Source organism: Homo sapiens, chromosome 3 (assembly GCF_000001405.40).
Source record: "Homo sapiens chromosome 3, GRCh38.p14 Primary Assembly".
In the NCBI taxonomy this organism is placed as follows: Eukaryota; Metazoa; Chordata; class Mammalia; order Primates; family Hominidae; genus Homo; species Homo sapiens.
Genome location: NC_000003.12, coordinates 67988258 through 68012534, shown reverse-complemented (window position 1 = coordinate 68012534; position 24277 = coordinate 67988258). Strand labels below are relative to the sequence as shown.

General features: G+C 38.6%; 1 protein-coding gene across 7 annotated transcripts in view; it reads right to left on the bottom strand.

The window, feature by feature from the left end:
• TAFA1 (TAFA chemokine like family member 1) overlaps positions 1–20991 on the bottom strand; it is a 554078-nt gene extending 533087 nt beyond the window's left edge. For 2 of the 7 annotated variants that reach the window (NM_001438647.1, NM_001438650.1), the window contains exons 1-2: positions 7833–8288; positions 5791–6119 (exon numbers count right to left, since the gene is read on the bottom strand). In NM_001438647.1, coding sequence (NP_001425576.1) covers positions 5791–5908 — 118 coding nt within the window. In that variant the 5' untranslated portion in view covers positions 5909–6119; positions 7833–8288. Of the gene's footprint in view, positions 1–5790; positions 6306–7832; positions 8289–20730 lie in introns of those variants that run through there. The other 5 variants (NM_213609.4, NM_001438648.1, NM_001438030.1 and 2 more) reach the window with 3 other exon arrangements.
• Between the last annotated feature and the right edge of the window lie 3286 nt (positions 20992–24277).

Below are 24277 nucleotides of genomic sequence, written 5' to 3'. Positions count from 1 at the left end.
AATATGATTCTTTTCTCCAAAATTATTTTGAAGCAGAGTATTCTGTTCCTTGTTTTCTCCACTCAGCAATGTAACATGGGCATTTTTCCTCGTGGGTAGATAGACATATTCTCATCCCTTTTAATGTCTACATCAAATCCCATTGTGTGGATGTGCTATGATTTATTTTACCAATCCCCTTTTGACGGAGATGAAACTCCTCTTCAATTTTTTGCCATTAAAACCATTGTTGCAATAACTATAGCTTAACATACATCTTTTCACATTTGTCTAATAATTTTCTTAGTATAAGCACCTGGAAATGGAAGTGTCAGGATTTGCACATTTTACATCTTGGGAGATGTTACTAAATTGTTATCAAAAATGGCATGCCGATTTATCCAGTTAAGCTTTGATACTTTCGCAGAAAGTTTAAAATTGAAAGAATGTTTAAAAGAGTTCAAATTGTCTTCTTAAGTAAACTTTAAGAAATTAACAATTAAAGGCTAAACTTCATTTTTGCCATTTCTAAATATTTTTGTTTGCAGTGTGGTATAACATCTATTTTCCCTAACTAGGAGTTGAAACCATAGGTTTGAGCTTACGTAAGTAAGAGTTTTTATAGCATTGTAATAATTTTCTTATAAGTTCATAAGATCAGCAGGAAATATTTATTTGCATCTGTATTTGGCTTTGATATTATAGGGTCTGATCAAATATCAATAGCTGCACCCTGACTCTGCGATGAGGTCAATAGGATCAATCAGATGATCGATGGATTATCACTAAGCACCAGCTTGCACCGAATAACAACCTGTCTGCTCCAATCCTTAGGCCAATTCGCTATATTTAGCAGCCTAGCACTGGTACGCATTCTTAAAGAGCCAATATGCGACCATAGTTGTACCCACTATTTCTTTTATATTACAGTTATAAAACAACCCTTTATTGTAATGTACTCTGGTATTCTACTGCATATTCTCTGAGCAGCTTTCAATAAAGTAATATTGAATAGTAAGGTAAAAATAAGTATAAGGCATACAAAAATGCTTTTTAATATTTTAACAAAAATATCCTACTTTAAAATGGAAGGTGATGTTCAGTATGTAATAATCAAGGCAAAAATGAATATATCTAACACACATAGTTTGCTTAATATAGCTTTAAATCAGGTCAAGTATAAATTACACAGACAACTCTATTCAGAGTAATCTTTTTATATATCATTTCCGTACACCCCTGTCGATAAAATAGCAGTGACTCAGGAATAAATGATTCATTAGGCACTTAAAACTTCTTGTCTCATGTAATTTATCTATATAATTTAAAATTACTGAAGAATCCCAAGGATCTTCTCTTGCTAAATAATTTTGAGATGATTTATATTTTACTAAGTTTCAAGGACACCCACCCCCCCACCACCCCCCACACACACACATTCAAAATTAAGTAACTATCAAAATTGCTGTCCTAATTCATATATCCATAAGGGGAAAAACTCATCCTAAAACAGAAAATTATGATTAGCAAAAACCGTTCAATCTTTTTTTACCTGTTACACAAAAAAACCTGGTGATTATAAAGAGTTGAGGTGTCTATTTTATAATTACCTGAAACAATTGAACACCACTTTTGAGTTTTCATTTTTTAGTGTGTCTTTTTACAACTAAATGTCCTGTCTATAGCTTTATAATGAAAAATAAAAAAGAAGCTCAAGTATTCTTCAAGTTTTTAGGGTAATTTCCTACATCATTCCCCAAATAAAAACTTGATCCAGCCAAATATTAAATTATTGAAATTACAAATCTGTTAATCTACAGCACATTTTACTCATTAGTGTAATTTTAAAATTCACTTTCATTTGATTGACTGTTTTAATCTTCCTTAACTAGTGAGTAACTGAAAATAAATGGTGCATTCCTAATACTATAAATATGAAAAATAGGAAGTAGTTAGAGACTGCAGGCGAATACATTAAAATGAGTCAGTTTTCTAGTTAACATATTCTCATTCTGTTTGTGTACAAACCCACTGCATTGAGAAGACAGATCACAAATTCACGGCCTCACAAAAACGTGGTCTCGATTTCATGTTATGACAGCAGAAATTGGCCCAAGTCTCTAACCATTTCCCCTAAAGGACCCTGGCTGGCTGGTGCCATCCAGGTGAGGCAATCTGAACGAGGGGAACATCACGTCAAATTCCACTCACCTGTCAATGTAGTGGATTATTTCTTGAGAGACTGAAATTGGCTGTTTGCTGTCTGAATACCATCAATATTACCATGCAAGGAACAGCCAAAGTGCCCGTAAGAGGCTGGGGAACAGAGGGAGGGGATTGGGGGGAGCCATTCCTAAGCAGGTGAGGAAGCAGCTGTAAAGCTTTCACTCTCCTTCCATTCAAGGCTCTGAGTGAAAGATTTGTCATTTTCCACATTTCCCAGATACTTGGTATGCACGCGGAGTCTGCCTGCTCTTGCTTTATGAAAGAGGTGATTTTTCAAGCTTAGGCAAATGTGGCAGAGCTCAGGGTCTGCGGGTGTCTCATTTTTTTCTCATCATGTCACTTGTTTTAACCGATTTGAGAAAATGAGATTATGTTTTTCCTTTTTGCTCATTTATCCAGCAATTTATTTATTTATTTGTTCATTTAGGGGTGGATTGTCACAGATAACTGGCCCTGATTTCTATCTTGTTTTCATACACATTTCATTAGTGTCCCTGGAGATTTAAGACCTACAAGGGAAAACGTCACAACTCTCATCCAAAATAAAAGCATATTTTTATTCTTAAAATCAAAAGATTGTATTAAAGAGTCTGACTGGAATAATCTAGAATATGGCTATGACCAAGATCTATCACTTTAATCTTTGCAGCTATTGTCAAAAACCAAAGAAAGTTGAATAAACGTATTATATAGAACTATTGGATGTTAAGTTTAATATCATTTTAATCATTCTGCATCTAGGAAGGGATATTTATAGTTTCTTCATTTCAACAATAAAGCTGAAATGGGTCTCAGATGTATTAGCACTTGGGGTCAAAATTGGTTTCAGTGCTGCAGTTTCTTGGGGTATTTGACGCACAGATCAACCACGCATTGGTTGATAATACACAAATTCTAAGGAAGAAAATGGAGAAAACAAATATTGAGTTTAATTTCAGCCAGAACCTAATATGTGATTCTCAGTTTTAAACTACGGTATTTTAACAATAAGCCCTATAAAGACATAAGTTTACTTATTATACATAACCCCCAATGAAAAACTCCATATATTCACTGATTAAGAGAGACAACTATGTGAAAGCTTGTTACAAACGGTACTGTATCTATTTCATGATTATACGCACAGAGTAAAATAAGACACATAGCATTGGTAGTATATTCTAGCCATGTACCACATGGTTAACAAAACAATAGCAAGAGAAAAAAAAGAGTTGTTGCCTTGGCTATGTGGATTATTAGCTGTGTGAACAGCAAAACTTTATTCATCAAACATCCCTGGCTTGTGGGTTTACAGTCTATTAAGGGGGGACATCAGTAATTCCCAATATTTGTGAAGAACTTTACAGCTTACAAAAGACTTATTCGAAGTTATTTTTATTATATTTACACCCCACCTCTCCCCGCCCCCAACCACCATATCTATAAATGGGGAATGAGAGCAGAAAAGTCAGTTGCCCAAGGTTATGTCACTAACCTTAAGTGACAGAGACTCAGGTGGCCAGCCCCGAGCCCTGCCTTTCCCCCTCAACCACGTGCCACTCACTAGTTCTGCCATGGCCACCTCTCAGAATGGGTGTGCAGTTGAGATTGGACCAAGTATTGACATAATGAAAGTTTTCAAAAATTATATGAAGGGGCTCACACTTCCTCAAAGAAGCTATTTGGCATGGTCACTCGGTGCACCGAGAGGCATTTTCGCCTCCTGAGGACACAGGCTCTGGCGGTGAATCGTGCTGATTTGACCTCCAATGGCAGCTATTCCCTGTGTGGCCTCAGACAAGCCACCTAACCTTTCAGAGCTTCTGTTTCCTGGGCGAAAGGGGAGAAATTACACCCACTTGCATAAGGATTAAACTGAACAGTGTGAACTAATCCTCAGAGCCCTGCCTAAAACATACACGTAGTAGTTGTTTTTATTATGAATTCTTATTCTTGATCATCACAACGAATGCAGATGTCCCGCACTGTTTATTATTTATGACCATGTAACAAGTGAAAGACATTTGTGCCAGAACAAATTGTGATTAAGTGATTGGAGGTAAAGTGGGAATCTCAAATTCACTTTTGTTTTCCCTCCATCTCGGCTGCACTGAGGGTTTGAGTGGCGGTTCCCGCGCCAGGCTCAGGACACAGGATGCAGAAATACAAGCGCGTCCTGAAGAGGGCGGTTTCCCTGCCCACCTGCAGGGGCACCAGCGCCCCCTCGCCTTCCCTGTCAGACCAGGGCTGGGGGAAACAGGGTGGCAGGGCCCAGAAACAGCCCCCAGCCTCAGCCCCTAGCACAAGCCAGCCCCACCCCTTCTCCCGGGGCGGCCCGAGCTCCAGCACCCAGCAGGCTTGCGCGCTCGCTGCAGCCTGGTGCAGGCGCGCGGGAGGACCCTGGGCTGCATCCGCGCTCTGACATGCCTGCCCCCAGCAGGGAAGCTGAGCCCCAGGAGGCAGCAAGCGGGGCCCCGGAAGGTATTGCTGGAGGGCTGTACAGAAGAGCCTAGTATCGGTGTCCAGGCCGACTGAGGAGCCAGGGAAAGGCGAGGGCGTAGACGCTGGACTACGCAGCAGGAGGAAGCTCGACGGATGGGGGGAGGAGGCCATTGATGGGATTTGGAGAGGCGGGTGGAGGGCTGGGAGCACTTCAGAACTGAGCATCAGAAACTTGGGCGCGCAACTGGTCCCCAGAGCCCGAACTTGACCGTCGCGAGAGAGGAAGGGAGGGGAGGGAGGGAGGTGGGGTGGAGGGTGAAGGCGGGGTGAGTAGTAGAAGGATGCGAAGGCTGATACTGAACAGAAAATGGAAGGAAATTTTTCCAAGAACCGGGGAAGGTAAGGACAATCGAGCTGGGAGGGACTGTAATGAGAAAGCTGGAGAGGCAAAGAAGGAGAGCAAAATCCAGAATGAAGAGCGAGGCCGTGGAAGGGTGAGAAATATACTTTGAACATTAAGAGGAAGAAAGCAAAATGCGTCCGGAACTAAAAATTCAATATAGGAAAAACAAAACAAAACAAAACAAAAATCAGGTGGGAGGGACTTCGTCCCTGAAACTGCCAAAAGAGAGGGAAAAATGCCACTGAGCATACCGGAAGAACAGAAAGTGAAGGAAGGGAGAAAGGAAAGAAGGCACATTAAACCAGGCAAGAAATAGTAAGTTACTTTTTAATTTCTTTTTCATTGACAACTTGCTTCCAAAGTTAGTTTGGGGACTATGCCCCCACAAAATTCTTAGCCACATACAGACCAAGATTATAGTAGGTAAAATCCTCAAGTATTGAAAGTTATTCCAACTTTTGCAGAATATTCTGCTATTGGCCAAAGCATCCAAAAACAGATGACTTCTACTTTTCAAGGTGTGTAGAAGCAGGTGGGGTGACACTTAGAAAAACACACCTTTTCTGAGAAATTAATAGAAATACCTCCAAGACATTTTGGCACACTCCCCTTCCCCCAAAGCATCCAGCCAACAATATGTCTTGGAATTCAAAGGCAAGCTGCCCACACTATAGCACTTTATGTCACTTGCATTCAACCATCTGTTAAGGAAATAGTGGTAAGACTGGAGGAGGCTGCAGTGGAGCCAGCTCCTGACTTACCTGGTCTGTGCAGGTGATGCTGCTGGAAAGTGTGCTGAAGGGATCCATGGCAGAGTAGCATTGCACAAGCACTTATCCACAAATACAGGACCCAGGACATCGCAGAGACCATTGCCATTCTCTAAAGAGAACATTCGACAGGAAAGGTTACCTCCGGCTTCAAGCCCCCAGCTCAGTCAGCCCCACTGATGAGGGAAGGGAGGTCTCAGACGTCATGTTCCTTTGCTACTTCTCTGGCTAGAACTAATGATCCAGCAGAGGTCATGCCATGAAGTGGGATTGAGAGAAAGCCCTTTTCAGATGATCATACATTCATTTTTTTCTTAATTCTGCAAAACAAAACTCCAAGGATTGGCAAAATGCAAAAATAAAGTTTTAGGCTATCAGTTAGTCGGTTTAAAACAATGCATGCTGACTAAAAATCCTATTTTACACAATGATCTTTAAACTATAGTTATCCCAGGCACTGAAAAGCTGCAGACTCCTCCTGTTCATTCTAACTTCATTGCAAGTCTGACATAAGCCTGGAAGGAAAGAGTGGGTTCTTTTTTTTTTTTTAATTCTACAGTCATGAATTTTTAATTGCAATGCTGTCTTCTAAACTAAGTAATCATTTCTCAGAGGCATGTTGTAATCTCCTGATAGAACTGATCCTTTTGACTGGACCTAAGAATCAGAAGGGATTGTGTTTAGCCAGAATGAGTTTCAGATGCAACACCTATGCTTCTATCCTAGAGCAAGCCATAATTTGCAATATTGCTTAGCCTCCTAAGATTCCATTGTAGCTTTTGTTGTATAGCATTGATGAATATGCATATACAGGTGGCATATGTATTTATGGATGAATATGTACCTTTTCTCGGGTGCTGAAACTTTGACAGTCTTATCTGCACCTATGAGGATCTTAGGAACTACAAAGGCTCAACTGCGCTATATATTGTCCAATTTCTCAAACAACACCTTATGCTGCATTTCATATTGCCAAATTAATCAAACTTGAAGCACCGTCCTTACTCAGCCAGTGATAGGGAAGCATTTTCTACACAAGAATCCAGTTAACTGTATGCTTTTCTGTTAGGCAGAGAGGGCTTTGGAAGATTTCTTTCTTTCTTTTCCTTTTCACTGTCAAATCATACCCTTCAAAAATCTCAACTATACGTTGAAAACGTGCTAGTAACCTCCCAGCCTGGCTTCTTTATTCATGAAAATTGGTTCTTTATTAAAAACTGATGTTCAGAAAACAAAAATATACATCATATGTATGCACATAATGCACGCTAATTTGTGGATTTTAGCAGAGAGATGCAGTCTTGGAAGGATTTTAGGACTATAATAGACAAATGGTGACAACTATAATTAAGTGCAAAGCAGGAAAACATTATTTTCAACAGCTTGGTGCTATTCATGCCTAAGTCTGTGATTCAGATGGAGCATTCACTTTCTAATTAGTTTCACTGCCCACTGTTTACTTTTGTATACAACATACTTTGCCTTATTGTTTTCAGAACTATTGGGATAACATACATGCATTCTCTTCAGTGGAAATAAACAGCAACACCCCTCCTGTGAAACCTAAAATGAATGTATTTGGGGACTTTTTCAGAATACCCTGCAAATTACAGAAAGACAAAACAGAGGTGACTGTGGATGTATTTACTGCTTGTGAATTGCAGTTAAAATGTACTGGAAATTCATCCAAACTTGAAAAAAAAATCCTGCCACAACCAAAACTTAATAGTTTTTCAATGACTGCTTTCTCTTGCTCATTTCTTCACCCATATAGATCCTACCACTCAAAAGGATTACTGTGATTTTATGCTTGCAATATATATTTTTTTAATTTAACTTTTTTAAATTCTCAGCATTACTTCCAAGCCTCCTGCATGTCACTCTCACTGCTTGCTCCTTTACCAAGGGGTTGTCTCAATGTTATTAAGCGTCTTCCCCAAATAAAGCATTCAGCCTTGCACAGTTCTCTAGATATGCCTGGATATGTTTCAGATCTGCTTTCTGAATCTTAAACCCTTAAAGATGCTTCTTACCTGAAAAATCCAGCCAAGAGCAGAGTACTCTATTAGTGTTCATTGGAAAGATCTAACACTTTTTAAAATCCATCTGTGCCACAATTTAAAATTTTTTTTCAAAGAGCTTCCCAACAATCTTCTTTATCAGGATTAAAAAAAAAAAAATGTTACTCTCTTCCGATCCTATTTCCACAGTAAAAAAAAAGACATCGGGTTCATTCAGACTGTATTGTCAGAAAAGGAGCCAAGGTTTGAGGGGTGGAAACCTTGTCATTTTCACCTTTAAATCATCTCCTGGCGTCACCTCTGCCTGACGAGACCTTTGAAGTGATGGGGAGATAATGTGCAGTTTCCTGATGAGAATCAGTTTATAGTTGCCGATGGACCATCCCCACTCCAGTGCATTCGGGGCAGAGTAAGGCAGCAAAATGTAGGAGCAGGGCTGCTATACGGTGCTGTAAGTAGCAGTAGTCTGTTTCAATACATCCCTCCGCTCTAAAGTATCACATGTCTTAAAGTGACATTACCCTCTATTACAGCTACAGTGAATTGTAATATCTGCCTACTAACTCTTCAACAACTCAAGCAGCGCTTTAACATTATATTGCCTGATTTATTACATTAGAAGTCCTACTGATACCACTGATTTAACAAAAGAGTAAAGAGGGAAGGAGAAACAAGAAAAAAGCATTCTGCAAAATACTGATAGTATTAGTGGGAGTTAGACTTCTAACAGTAAATGGGAAAGTGAAATATAAGCCATTTCTTACCTCTTAATGTTCTTTTTACCAGTAAATTAACCACAAATATTGTCAGGTTTATACTAATTTAAGTCTGCTGGTTGTTTCAGCAGTTAAATAGACTAGAATTTACCTGGAATAGGACATAGATGCGTATATGCATAAGTCCAATAAAAACCTTCTGAACTTTTTGAACATGTTTAATAAATAAAAATATGTTATTTTCAGCATCAAATGAAGAAATATGCTCACAGCTCTTTTTTAAAAAATTTTTCCTCTCCTTCAAATAACATGCTGGGGTGGGGAGGGAAAACACTCAGAAGTTCAACATCTTCTTCCTCTTACTACGGTTTGAACCCTTTCTTCTTCAGAAATATAGTATAATTTTGCCTAAATTTCAATGATGAATACAAGATGACCTAGTTTTCATTTATAGATTGTGCTGGTAATAATTCTCTGAAATACCCTCAGTTATTTCACAAATCACTTATAAAGCACCTACTATGTGTTAGGTGCCTGGGAACAAAGCAGAAAACGTGATTGATGAGATCCCCACTGTTATAGATGATACTGTCTAATCTTTTATGGTGTTTTCAAAATCAAGGTAGTTCTCATAATATTGCTTCCTTGGAAACATTTTGAAATTCCCCAGAATACTCTCTTGCCTTTCAGAGGCACAATAAAGAAGGTCCAATGCTGCTGCACATCTTTGCAAGTGATTCTGTTTTCTCATGTTACACACAGTGAGAGAGTTAGGGATCCTTCAGACTCGTCAGTCTTGCCAATTGGTCTTTCACATTGCACAAAACACACATAATAGCTCTTTGTAACATAACAACTGTTCTCTAAATCTTACCTCTAAACAGATTTCTAAGTAATAGTAAATATTAATCTCACAGTTAAAAATGTCAAAGTTCTAGTTGGTGTTGCATGTTTCACATCTGTGCCTCATTATTATTGTTCATGAGTGTGTACAGAAAGTTTACACTGACTGTACAGCATCAAGATAAAAAAATAATAACAGCAGTGGCAGCAGGTAATGTTTATCAAACCTTCACCAGATGCTAGCACATTCTATAGTATGTCTTGTAAAGTCTAATTTAATTCTTTTTACCAACCCCACAAGATAAGTATTATTATTATCTCTGTTTCACAGATGGGGAATGTGAGAGGAGACAGGAAGATTAAAGAACGTGCACAAGGTTGTGTGGTAGTAAAAGACAGAGCAGATTTCAAGCCCAAATGATTTGGCTCAAGAGTACATTCTTAAACACTGGGATAAAATATTTAATGGAAAAAAAATCCAAAAAAATAACTATTATATTTTCTTATTTCTTTAACATTAAGATAGTCTCAAAAAATGATTATTCATTCTTTCTAGAGGTACATATTACACCAGGCATTTGAAATATAGAAGTATACAAGATGGCTTTTGCCCCGTGATTGTTGTTGGTTGTGGTTTTGCTATGCTAATGAATTAAAATTAAAAGGAAGTTCACCTTTGCTAATAAAGGCTACTATTTTGAAAACCTGTAACCATTATGTTTTTCATTTCTAGAGATTAAAATAAGGGTCAAGATAGTTACTTCCATAATTCAATTTAATCGACCACCTAATGGATTACATTCAAGGCATTCAGATAGGCATTGCTGACAATTAAGAAAAAAATACTGGAATAAAGACTCGCCTTAACTATCATTCTAAATGCATGTAATGAAGCAAGAATATTAGCATAGTTCTATTTTTTTCTTCCAAATACCTTGCAGTCCATTGCATTGCAGCCAATGATCATTTGTCCTAATAATGTAAGAATCAACATATATTGATCTTTGAGGCCATTTAGTGTATTCTCCCAACTCAAAGCAAAACTACTCTCACATTTTTCAGAGAAGTTGAGCCTTTCCACCTTCTGACCATAGTAGGATTGCACTTCCTGATCCCTTTAGGGTTGGGTATGCCATAAGGTTCAGCCAGTGAGGTGTCATTAGAACTGATGTCATTTCCTCAAGCAATAGAGCATTTAATTGCTGAAGTGACACCCTCAGATCTCTTCTTGCCTTTGAAGCAGGGACAAGTTGCACTATCAGCCTGAGTCCTTGAGCAGAGGCCTCCTCTTCCCCTACCAATCTTTAATGGATCTACCTAGTGAATAAGAAATAGTTTTTTTTAAGCAATTGCAACTTAGGAGTTATTTGTTATTGCAGCATCATCTAGTCTATACTGACTGATGAAAACTTTATCTTGTAATTCACTTATTAATTGAATTTTTATGTTCCATGCACTGCACTAGGCCATGAGGAGAGCATTATACACATCAGTAATCACAACTATGTCTTAAAAGTACAAAGCATTCACAAGGTAAACACCAAACAAACAAAAGCAGCAACCAAAAAAAAAAAAACAACAACAACAAAATAAAACCCAACTACTGCTTAAGAAAGAATAAAAATCCTTAGTAGCAACAAGGAATGCACACAGTTGGAAAGAGAGGCTAAATCATTTTCTATCAAACTGGCAATATTCTATACTATAATTTGAATCTGGATCCGTAAGGCAGAATTTTCAGTAACTGTAAGAAAAAGAAAATGGGAGACAAGATTTTTCTTAGGCTGGAAAAAAAGATAACCTTCATGTAGGAGTCTCATTTTTCACCTCCAGCAGCCTATCTCTACAATTACTTTATCAACTATAATTCCTCATTGCTTATCTTGTCTGTCTTCCAGGCAGAAGAAAAAGAAAGAATAAGGTCATTTCTTTTGTTCTTACGCTTCTCATTTCTTTATTCTTTATTCTCCTTTTAGGACTGAGAGAAAGTTGAAATCCCACCAGCTTCACCTCCTTTTCTCTAACCAAAGCAATACATGTATATTTTTATAGCAACAAAGTAGTCTCTTTTTTTTGCAAGGATATGAACATATATCAGAAGCATATAAAGGTCATGAAAATGTTTGCTTTGGCAATAATAAAAACAATAATATGTTTTTTTGGTTTACAAAACTTTCAAATCCATAGCTGATTTAATATCAGATCCCCCAAAGCTACTCAATTCCAATGGCCATTCAACAACGCAATAGTTTGAGCCAGAAATGAAGACTCTTCTGGCCATGTCCCTCCCCATAAACTTCTGCATCCAATCAGTCACTACCACCTATTAATTCTACTTCCTGTTTATGCCTCAAATCCATCCACTTTCTCCCTCTCCATTCAACTACCCTCATCCAGGCTACCATCATCTTTTACCTGAACTATAGCAAGTATACTTGTCTTGGAGTATGTACCTCCCACCTGTGTCTCCCCGACTCTGCATCTTGAGGGAGCATATTTAAGACACATGATCATTATGTCACTCCTGTTACTTAAAAGCCTTTCAATAGTTTCCCACTGCATTTAAAATAAAGTCCAAATCTTATGTCCATGGTTGACAAGGCTCTGCATGAACTGACCCACCTACTTCTCTAGCCTCATCTCTTACAAATGTTCTAATTCTTGGCTTCTACTAGGCTCTTATCTTGGATCCTTGAATAGGATGGAGAAACTTTCTTCCCAAAGCCTTCTCTAGTACTCCAGACAAGATCAGGTCATTGTGCTATGTCCCCTTATATCCCTTGTTACAGCACCTCTAGAATCTTAAATACAAGTGTTAATAGCTATTTCTGGAATTATTTGTTTAATGCCTGCTTTATCTCCTTATAACAATCACCATGAGGGCAAGGAGGACAAGCATATTGGTCACTGCTGCATCTTCAGAGTCTAACATACTGCCTGGCATATAGTAGACAATAAAATGCTTGAATGACTAAATGAATAATAATAAATGAATCAAAAATAAAATACTAATTCACCATCAGGATGGCATGCATAATGAGCTGCCTTTACAGAAATAAGTAGCTTTGACCAGGCACGGTGGCTCACGCCTAGAATCCCAGCACTTTGGGAGGCCGAGGCGGGCAGATGGCCTGAGGTCAGGAGTTCAAGACAAGCCTGGAAAACATGGTGAAACCCTGTCTCTACTAAAAATATGAAAATTATCTGGGTATGGTGGCAGGTGCCTGTAATTCCAACTACTCAGGAGGCTGAAACAGGAGAATTGCTTGAACCCCAGAGGCAGAGGTTGCAGTGAGCCGAGATCACCATTGCACTCCAGCCTGAGTGATGAGAAACTCGATCTCAAAAAAAAAAAAAAGAAAGGAAAGAAATAAGGGTGACCACCTTGTCCTGTGTTAGCCTATTGCAATGACACTAAGTAAAGGAAACTGGCCTGTACACCGTTTAAACAATGCCTACTTGCCACTAAATTTGTGTTGGAATTTTTTTGCTAGAAGAAAAAAAAAGGAAACTGTCCTGAATTTTCTACCCTGGTTCTCAGTATTTGATATCCAATATGATCTGATGGTAGAGCTCACAGCTGATCCCTGGAGAATAAAAAAAGTCTACAGATGTTAAAAGTCAAAAGAAAGCACTTAAAATTTCAGTATATTGGACCTAGAAGAGACCCCCAAAATCTCCTAGTCTAGCCTCTTACTTTTAGAAGAAAGATGAAGACCTAAGAAAGGGGAAGAGGCTTACTCAAGGGAACGTGGTAAATTAACTAGCATAGATGATGTTAGAATACAACTTTCCCAATCTAATGTTACTCTTTTGTATGCTTCCCCTCCCTCCAACGTAGACACACACATACACACACACACACACAGAGAGAGGGGGGGGGGGGGGATAGAGAGAATGAGAGAGAGAGAGAGCACTATTCAAGAGAACTTTCGGCAGTGTGGAAGATGTTCTCTATTTCTGCTGGCTAATATGGTAGCCACTATTGACATGTAGCTATTAAGCATTTGAAACGTCAGAAGTGCAACCAAGAAACTATTTTAAATTTAAATAGCCACATCTGGTTGATAGCTACTGTATTGGACAGCACAGTTCTAGAATACACCAGCCAGGTCAAGGAAAATAAAACCTGTGATTTTGAATAATTTTTAGTAAGCTAGAAGAAAGATCTTTAATTACCTGATAGTAACCTTCCAGGATGAAAATAGCATAGAAAGAAAGAAGTAGGATGTGTTTGGTTACAATTAACAGAAAAACAAACATGCACACACAAAATTCAAACTGGAGTAAATAATAAAGAAGATGTATGGTTTCCTATGGGTTGATAGCCCACAGGTGGCACTCACTTGCAGTTGGGTTTGATCAGCAATTCCACTAACCCATGAAAGAACTAGCTTATTTCCAACTCTCTCTGCCTTCCAGGATTTCTATTCATTCTAAGGCAGGTGTCTCCTCACGGCTGAAACATGGCTGCCAATGGCTGCCTGGGCTATGTGCTTCCTCATCCACATAGGAACAAGAGAAACGATTGTTTTGGGTTTTTCTCACATGAGCAAGGATTATTTATTCCTAGCTTCCTCCAGCAAATTACTTGTCATGCCTCATTAGTTTAACTTGGGTCACTTGCCCCTCCTTAAGCCAGTGACCTTGACCAGGGGGAAGGATCACATTGTTGGGCTTAGAACTACAGTACATGCCACATCCCTAACTCAGGAGAGCATCCCCCAAAAGAGATGCATGCAGTGGGGGAGGGTGGCACTTAAAGGAGAATTAGGATAATAATGGGAAAAGGAGAATGAATATTGAGGGCATAATTATAATGTTGACTAAGGCTAGCAAAGCTTTCATATGTACTTTTAGGACTAAAGGACTTTGATATGTTTTATAATTTCTTCCTACGTATAAAATAACGTATTCATATGTTAAAAGGTAGATAAGATCTAAACTAAAAATTTTAAAAGTCATCTATAACCTATCACACAAATGTTACCAGTATTCACATTTAAGTGTACATACTTCTAACACTTTTCCAAACATGCCTATTTGGTGCTGTTGTTTTTTTAAAAAAATTGTAATTTAATATATGGTTTTTTTTGTTTAATTTTTTTTGTTTAATATATGTTTTTTATGTTTTATGATTTTTCATTGTATTTTTCATATTTTATTATTTTTTCCTCAAAATATCACATTTCTCATGTCAGTCCTCTAATGGTGCTCTTAATCCACTTAACCAATCTAAAGTATTGTGCTTTTGTTTCTTGAAATATTCAACTTCCATTCACTGCTTGTTAATTGTGGTTGATTTTACTTTTGTGGTAGTAAATTTTTTACTACATGAAACAAAAAATTAAAAACAGGAATGCCTTTCTTTTTCTATAGGATCCTACATAGTGTCAGTGGTTAACTACAAAAAAAAGGTAATCATACATATATCTTATTTTCTTGGTGTGGGCTTAAGTCCTATTAACTTTTCTGGACTTCCTAGGTTTATATCTGATTTGCCTTTAAGTAAATTTCTGAAGAATAGAAGTCTTTGGCTTACTGTTAATATAGCTGATTATTCTCTTTTGTCTGGCTTGAGTTTTTAATTATGTGAACTAGACAATTTCCAGAAATAGTAGAAAAACACAGGAAAATAGCAATATATATATTTTAATCTATATCTCTTTGGGTCTTCCTCCTTTTATTTATTTTTTAATGTAGTCAGAGAGGCAATCTAACAGCAGGAATGAGATAATGAACTCTGGAGTCAAACTGCTTGAGTCTATTTCAGCTCTACCTCTTACTAGCTGTTGGATTCTATGTAACTTCACCTAAGTTGCCTCACTGATACCTGCTTCAAAAGATCATTGCTAGATGCATATCAGTGTATCTGGTATACCATAAATTTCTATAAAGTTTTAAAATTAAATTTGATTTATTTGGTGTAATTAAGATTTTGCTCAGAATTGTAAGATGTTTTCTCACTTCTCTATACCTTTGAATGTGCAAATGTATAGAATTCTATTGAAACATTCTTTCTATTTGAAAAATCCTTGCTCTGTCTTTCATTTCTACCTACCATTTCCCTTCCCCTTCCTTTTTCCTAACTCAGCTTGCTTTTCCAGATTAGGTTCTTGATGTCATTCTCTATGGAGTTTCTCTTGGCCTCCCAAGTCTAAGTTAGAGATCCCTCCTCTACACTCCCATAGATTCTGTCAACTGCACTTGCTGTAGCATCTATTGTTCTGTGTCATATTTCTCTATTATTGTCTCTCCACTAGACTATCTTTTATGTCCATATAATTAGGCAAAGTAGCATAGTGCCTTTCAGCTCCTCAAACATATTATACCATTTTTTTTTTTCTTATTTTTGTTTTTTTGAGGTGGAGTTTTGCTCTGTTGCCCAAGCTGAAGTACAGTGACCTCGGCTCACTGCAACCTCTGCCTCCCAAGTTCAGGGAATTCTCATCCCTCAGCCTCCTGAATAGCTGGGATTATAGGCACAGACCACCACACCTGGCTAATTTTTGTATTTTTAGTAGAGATGGGGTTTCATCATGTTGGCCAGGCTGGTCTCGAACTCCTGGCCTCAAGTGGTCTGCCCACCTTGGCTTCCCAAAGTGCTGGGATTGCAGGCATGACTCACCACACGCAGCCATATTATACCATTCTGGACTCAAAGCTTTTGCACATTCTGTTCTCTCTTTCAGAAACATTTTTCCATTTTACTATTTTCCCAGATAGCCCTTTCTTTATCCCCCCTGATTTCAGAGATACTTTCTCTGACCATATCACTCCTTTCTTGAAAATATGTAATTATTTCCCAATGCACAGAATATAATGTCTGATTTTTTAAAAACTAGATCCAGCATGTACTGATATCCACACCTATTTCCAACCTAATATTATTCCACTTTTCCCTAAACACCTGCACATGCACCATGCTCCAGTCACTCTGGTCTTTTCTCACTAATTCATTTGGGCAGTCATTTGTTTACCAAGGACTCACTCAACAAATGAGGTACGGAGACTAGAACTCAATTACTGTTGAAGAAGATAATCATTTCCCTGCTTCATACACTCCAAACCCTTTCCAGATTTAAGGCCTTTAATGTGCTATAAGCTCCTGTTTTATTTATCACTATTCACTCACCATCTGGCAATGTACCTGGCACATAGTAGGTGCCTAATCAATATTTATAGAACATATGAATACATGAATGTGCGAATGAATGAATACACAGTCACTTCTCATTTATTCATGTTTTAGGTGTTTTATGAATTTGCAGCAAGATTCTAAGCAAGCCGTTGGCAGTGGGCTGAGCAGGGAGGAGGCTGGGAAGAATTTCAGATGATGTGTCTGTATGTGTATGGGTGTTTGTGTGGGAATCTGAGTCTGAGAGTGCCTAAATGTGCATCTCCAACCTCATCCTAGTGCCAGAGGAAAATGCTTTTTGCATCACTTCTTCTTTTCTCCACCCCTTTGTCCCCTTCTTCTAACACACCCTATTGACAGTACGCCTTCCCTACTCTTGGTTTCCACCCTCACATTCAGGTTTTTGTCATAGTGTAATGGAGAACATGTGGTATCTCTGGGAGTCCCAGCTCTGGGAGAAGAATCTAACAGTTACAAGTTTAGAGTAGAGAAAAAGAGAATTATAAAAGGGAGTTCAAGGGAAGAGGGGATGAGAACACGCCTCGCATGCTCATGTTTGGAGTCCCTAAGCCAGAAATCCTCAATCTTGGCAGTAAGTTACAATAATCTGGAGAGTTTTTAAAACTCTAAATGCCCTGGCCCCCACCCAGATCAATCAAATCAGGAACTCTGGAGATGGGACTCAAGCAATAGCGTTTTTCAAAGCTCCCTAAGTGGTTCCAATTTGCAGCCAAGTTTGAAAACCACTGCATTAAAACAAAAATGTACAGCAGAAGGCCTCTGGTCACTATGGCAACCCCCAAAATACCTGCAATTTCTTGTTATTTAGTTGTCAACTAAGAGATATGTTCTCTGTGTTTAACAGATTTAAGGTTAGCCCAAGGTAGGCATCTTTATTGAATGCTTACTATGTGCTTGGTACGATAATAGCTACCATATAAAACCTCCATTTCATTAATTTGTTTTTTTTTCTAGTTCATATTTAACTGTGTAGATCATATGAAACTTAAGTGTTCAAAGCCATGTTTGGTAGATTTCATGGTTGCTTCCATTACTTATGATCCTTCCTGATTTTCACTTATGTAACCACAATCTCTCTGCCAAGCTAACCGCTGGTTCCAGAAGTCTTTCCTATAGTTCACGGTAGCCCCATTCCCTTGACATGATCACACATATGAACAAAAGTCAGTTTGGGCCAAAGTCATGCAAGGACAAGTTTTCAGGGATCTTCTAAAAGACATTTCCTCACTTGTCTAAGACAGCCTCAAAAAGTGATTTTCTCTTTTCATCCAGAGTTGTATAAAAAAGCATAACATTAATCAGGAGTCATTAACTGATATTTTCAGATTCTGAAGAGCCACCAACCTGTCAGGATGAGGCCGACACCCTGGAAAGAAGAGTAAACAAGCTGGGGAAATGTCCTTTTTTGAATCAAACCAATCTGAAAGTCCACTCAACACTAGGCTTTCCCTGTGATGAATTAAGACAGCTTCAGTTGGGCTTTCTGTTGTTACTTGGAATCAAAAGCATTCTAACTAACTGAGCACTAACACACAGCCTATAACAATGGAAATATAAAACCAAGATTATCCTATAGATAATTTAATCTGGACTCTCAGTTTAAAAATAAACAGACTAAGATTCAAAGAGCTGAAGTGCCCTGTGTAAGGCAACACAGTCTACCTGGGACTGTATTACCTAGAGCTGGGCCTGGAACTCAAGTGTCCTCATTGCCAGCTCACTGCTCATTCTACTGAACTATAAAGACATCTTCATTGTGAACATTCACTTTAATTTTCCATTCTTGTTAAATTAGTTGTAATGACCCTAATTTTTGAAATGTTGTAAATTTCCTTGGAAGGAACTCTCTCTAGAAATATATAGTCTCAGCCCTCTCTCAACAGACACACCCAAAACTTATAGATACAATTTGATTGTTAAATGTAGACATCATGAAAGAATATGGAAAACTGTTGAAAATATATATCACACAGCTCACCCCCAACCAAGAAAAAAATTAAAAATTCTACCCGGCTAGGCTGCTTCACTAAATGATGTTGCTGAATATATAAAATACTTGAATCTAAATTTGAAAGTGCTCCCCCCTCCCCTTGATTAACCAGATTGTCCCCTCCCCTATATATAGGAACGCTATGTGCCTGAGCCCACTTGCCATCTGTCACCACATTTTCCAAACTTCTCTTCCACCCCCTCCTCTTACACAATCTTATCACATAAAAATATTAGATTTCAGGGATTTGTATAATTTCATCAGATTTTCTGAGCAAAGTAAAAATAGAAGATGTACTGGTATACTAAACTGACTCAGTTTTTGAGTGCCCAACACATATCTATGGCAGCCAGTAAAGCCCTTTACACAGACCTTATGTGGCCAGGAATAGCAAGAATAAGGTGTTTATTTTTCCCCCTGTAGTATGGTATTGCACATTAGGAATTTTCAGGCATTCCCCATATTACAGAGACGAATTTGGATAGTTTCCAGGGAGTCCTGACTCATATAACATTATAATACTTTGTTTATTAGCTTTTGTAAAGTTTGGTAAGTTTTCCCAGATCATTGGAAAATACTTACAAGCCAACTGGGGAGTATCCATATTGCTGCTTCCGCCTTACAGTTTAGGAGATGAATTCTAACCATCTAAATATATGGTACCTCCACTCACCCAGGTGCTTCGGCCAGAAACTTAAGAGTCTCCTTCGTTTGCTGTATTTCCTACCTCTCACAACCAATCCATCAGAAATACAAGCTAACGCTTTTGTTTGCAGATCCCACAGGAAGCCTTTAAAGAATATCCAGGGAAATTGGCTATGAAGTATCAAGCCTACTACCCAATATATATTTGTTAAGGATGGTCCTGTGGACTAGGTTCTTTCCTATTTCTCTGCATGTGTAGGAGAAAAGAGCTTGTAAGAAGCCCCCTGTTGTGTCTACCAAGCATCTTACTTTCTTCCATCTGCACCCCTGATGGCTTTGAAAGATTCCTCAATCACAGACCATTCTCTGATCATCAGGTTGGTCACATGACTCAAGCCTGACCACTCGGGAATTCCCATGCTCTGTCAGCAGAGATTGGCTCAAGTGTGGGCACATTACCCAAGGAAGAACACAGGGGAGGAGGGGATTTACTTCCTTTATAGTGGTGGCTACTTTTATCTTTGAGGAAAAAGGTTACCTGGGGAAGCAGAGAATACAATCATACCCACAAGAGAAAGAGGAAAACTAGGGTTGAAGATGGAGAGAGAGAAGGAGGGAGAAGGATAAGAATAGAGTCTAAATGAAGGTTACAGACTATGGTTTGCCTTCTGTTTTTATAAATTAAGTTTTACTGGAATACAAACATGCCCATTTGTTTATGTATTATGTATACTTGCATTCAGGCTACAACAGTAAAATTGTTGGAATGGATACCATATCTAATGGGTTATTCCTGACTGAGGGCACATGAAGTATGCTGTCCTTCTCAAAGATCTTATAATTTAGTGAAGGGCAAGAAATGTAAACATTAAAGCACAATAAGATAATGGGAATCAAGACAAAACTCAGGATAGAAATAAATCTAACAAAATAACAATGCTAACAATGATAATGTTCCTGATGATGACAGATACCATTGATTGACTGCATAGTGGCACTGTGTTGCCTCTCTAAGTATATTGTCACTCATCCTCCAAACAACCTTGCCAAATAGATGTTTCAGTTAGGATACAAAAATGTTTGCTGTAATAACAAGCAACCCCAATAGCTCATGCTGCATATCCAGTGGGGGTCAGTAGGAGGATTTGCTTATTGTAAACAGCCAAGATCCCAGGATAATGAAAGCTTTCTCCATATGTTTTCATATTTGCCTCACTGGGGGAAGGGACCATTGTAAATCACACACTGTCTCTAAAAATGTCTGTCCACTAGTGAAACACATCCCTTCCACTCACATTTCATTAGTCAAAACAAATCATTTAACCATTCCTAAACTGAAAAGTACTGGTGGAAAGTAATGCTACCATGTGCTTAGAAAGACAAGAGCTATAAATATTTAGAGAATGCCAGGGCATTAGTCAGGGTTCTCCAGAGAAACAGAACCAATAGGATATAGATATATTGACAGTTTATAGATATAGATAGATGATATAGATATAGGTATAGATATAGACATAGATAGACATATGAGGAGATTTATTAGGGGAATTGGCTCACATAATTATGGAGGCTGTGAAGTCCCACGACAGGCTGTCTGCAAGCTGGAGATCCTGGGATGCCAGTAGCGTGGCTCAATCCAAGTCCAAAAGTCTCAGGACCAGGGAAGCTGATGGTGTAAGTCTCAGTACAAGGCCAAAGGCCTAAGAACCCAGCAGGTTGCTTGTGTCAGTCCTGAAGTCCAAAGGCTGGAGAGCCTGGGGTTCTGATGTCCAGGGCCAGGAGGAGAAGAATGTCCTAGCTCTAGGAGAGACAGAAAGGAAATCTTTTTCTCTCCTTTTTTGTTCTATCTGGGCCCCCAGCCAATTGGATAGTGCCCACCCACATTGAGGGTGGATCTTCCCCACTCAGTCCACTGATTCATGCACCAGTCTCCTCTGGAAACCTCACAGACACAACCAGAAGTAATACTTTCCAGCTTCCTAAGTATTCCTTAATCCAATCAAGTTGACACCTCAAATTAATTATCACAACCATGAATCTGTACTCAAATGGGTATTATTAGTGTTCACTTTTCCAATGAGAAAGCATAGTAAGAGAAGTTAGGAGACTTCCTCAAGGCTGTCAGTTAATAAGTAGTAGTGTTAAAATTGAACCCAAGTCAGTATGAATCTAAACCCCAAGACATTTTTGTTTTGTTTTACCATGTCAACATCTTTTCTCATCAGCTTTGTGTTAGATGATTGAATAAAATAGTAAATTTACATGATGTAGGACCAAGCAAGAGATGTAAAACATTTGGGTTTGATGAGCTTGGAAATAGTAAGCCCTTTAATATTTTTAATAAAGACATTTACATTATATAAGCAATACTTAATAAAGATATGGACAGCAGTTTTGACCAGAGAATTGGGTCTGCAGTGGGATAAGAGAGCAGTATAAAAGTTGGGATAAGATAATGCAAAAAAAAAAGTGAGAGAGAGATTGAAGAGGAAGAGAGAAGTGAGTAGTTAGAAGGGAGGTTTCAGACAGAGACCTTTCCTGCTCTTGAGTAGCTTAAGTATAATTCTTTCCTAAAAGGTTCAGGTTCAAATATTTATGAGACAGAGTTACTATTCCTTTTAGAGGCGTGTCAAGTGTAAAAGAGGAGGAAAAATTTGTTTGTGAAGGGAGTTTACAGTATACTTAAAGTTTATTTTAAAAATAAATAGGACTTGATAGGGCAATAAACAACAGGCCCCATCAGTAACCTGCCAGGAGCACTAACAGGAAGCATCTGTAGGCTGCCAAGAGCCAGAAATAAGAATGAACAATTCTTACCGTCAGAGTCACAGGACAAAGTCACAAGTCACAAACAAAGTGACAGGACAAAGTCAGAGTCACAAACAAAGAGGATATTTGGGATGCAGCATCTCTAAGCCAAGTTACTCTCTGTTATGAGCACACTCACAGTTATGTGGAATACACCCGCACAGGTAAAATCACATCTGAATCAGATGTTGCTGGTTCCCTTTGCTACGAATTCCAGATGTTGTTTTAGCTTGAAATTATGACACAGCACACAAAAATATATGGGGATCTTTAGAGAAATGTAATAGCATAAAGATATTAAACTTTGTATGCTGTCAGTAATTAGGAAGTATATGTGGCCAAGAAGATTTTATGTGTTCTCTCCAACCACTTATTATTTTAATATTTATATGTATTAAATGTACACAGGCATGACTATTTAGGTGCTCCTACAATATGCTGGGCATGATTACAGGAGCTAGGGATGCAGACGTGAAGAAGAGAAACAATCTTTACCTTCATGGAGCCTCATATTTTACTGGAAGAGTAAAATGAGGACACAAATGCACAAGGTGATTAAAGATTGGGGCATGTGACCTGAATGTAAGAAAAGAATGGTATCATGGAAAACCTGGGGAACAAGGAGTGGAACTGACTGTAGGTAGTGGTCAAGGAGCCCTTTGGGGTACTAACCTTTGAGGTGAGAACTAAAAGGTAATAAGCAATCATGCAGTTGACAAAGCATGATATATATTTGGGCTTGCTTCAATTATAGGTCAGTGCACAAGTAATTGCAGTTTTTGCAGTTTTAATGATAAAAACCACAATTACTTTTGCACCAACCTAATAATAAAGACTTTCTTTCTGGAGACAAAAATATAATAGAGCTAATAGAGCTGGGTTGTGAAGCTCAATGGATTGGGGATCTGAGATTTGTTCTGCCTGAGATCTGAGATCCGAGTCTCTGTTTTCCCACTTAATAGCTGTACACCCTTAAGTTAGCCATCTAAATTTTATGAGTGCGGATTTCTTCATGTGTAAAATGTGTGGGTTGGGCCGGCAGATCTCTAAAATCTCCTCTAGCACGAAAAGTCCATACTACTTTCTCTTCTGTTGCCGCTGCAATAGTGTCCATATGCTTTCTCTCGACACACACACACACACACACACACACACACACACACACATAAGAATATGTGTATTAAGTCTTCTACTTTCAAACTGCTGTCAGAAATTGACCCTGGGAAAAATAGGAAATGATGTTTCAATACGATTTGAATATAAGTGAAAATCAACCTTAGCTCTTTACTCCCTTTCAAACACTACTTTGCTGAGATAACGTATTAGCTATTCCATAAAGGTCCCTGGGCCTTTATCTTATCTTAAGACCTTATATTAGAGGATACACCACTCCCATTTCTCAAACTATCCATCAGAGGCCACAGCCTTGGATGCTCCGTGTGTGTGTGTGTGTGTGTGTGTGTGTGTGTATGTGTGTGTGTGTATCTGTGTCTGTGTGTGTGTGTGTCTGTGTGAGACTCTTCCTCCTTACTCTCCCCTCAATGCAGCTCGACCCAAGTGCATCTGATGGGCTGTTTGATGACCTGGGAAATAATGGGAAAAGATGAGGCAGTCCAATGGATTTGCTTCCAAGGAATTTGGATTTGGGATTGTAAGACAGTGGATAGGTTGGTTGCAGGGCCCAAAATGAAGGACACATAAAAGCCTACAGAAGCATAATGATGACAAAGCATTCGAATGAAGCCTGTGGACTCCATGTCTGTTGAGGCTCCCAGACCTGTTTAAATCCAGACTCATTTTCCAGTTCTGTCTCCCGCAAGGCCCAGGCATTATAGTATTTCCTGCCCCTGATTTCTATGAAATTTCTCCGGGTCCTATCAGCAACCACATTTCTACCTTAACTGGAATTCTTTCAGTCAAATTACATTCACTAAAACAAAGAGTGTCTCATTCAACAAATAAGATAAACTCCATGAAGATGTTAATGGTGCACAGATTTAGAAACAGGAGTAAGACATACAAACAGGGGAAAGGCGGCCAGGAGCTGTTGGCACGGGGAGAGGTAAATGACGCCTGTAGCAAAAAAATGGATTCCACGAAATGCAGTTAGGGGTAGGGGTGGGCAGGTGCTCCAAAACTGGCCTGGGAGGATCTAAAAGAGAAGGCTGAGAGGAAGAAATTTGGCCTACAATTTTGCTAATGAGAAGTACTCAATTCCACAGGATAGAAACTGTCCTCAAAGCTCCCAAAAAATGTTTATCTTCTTCTTCCAGGTACCTTACAGCATCGTGCCTAA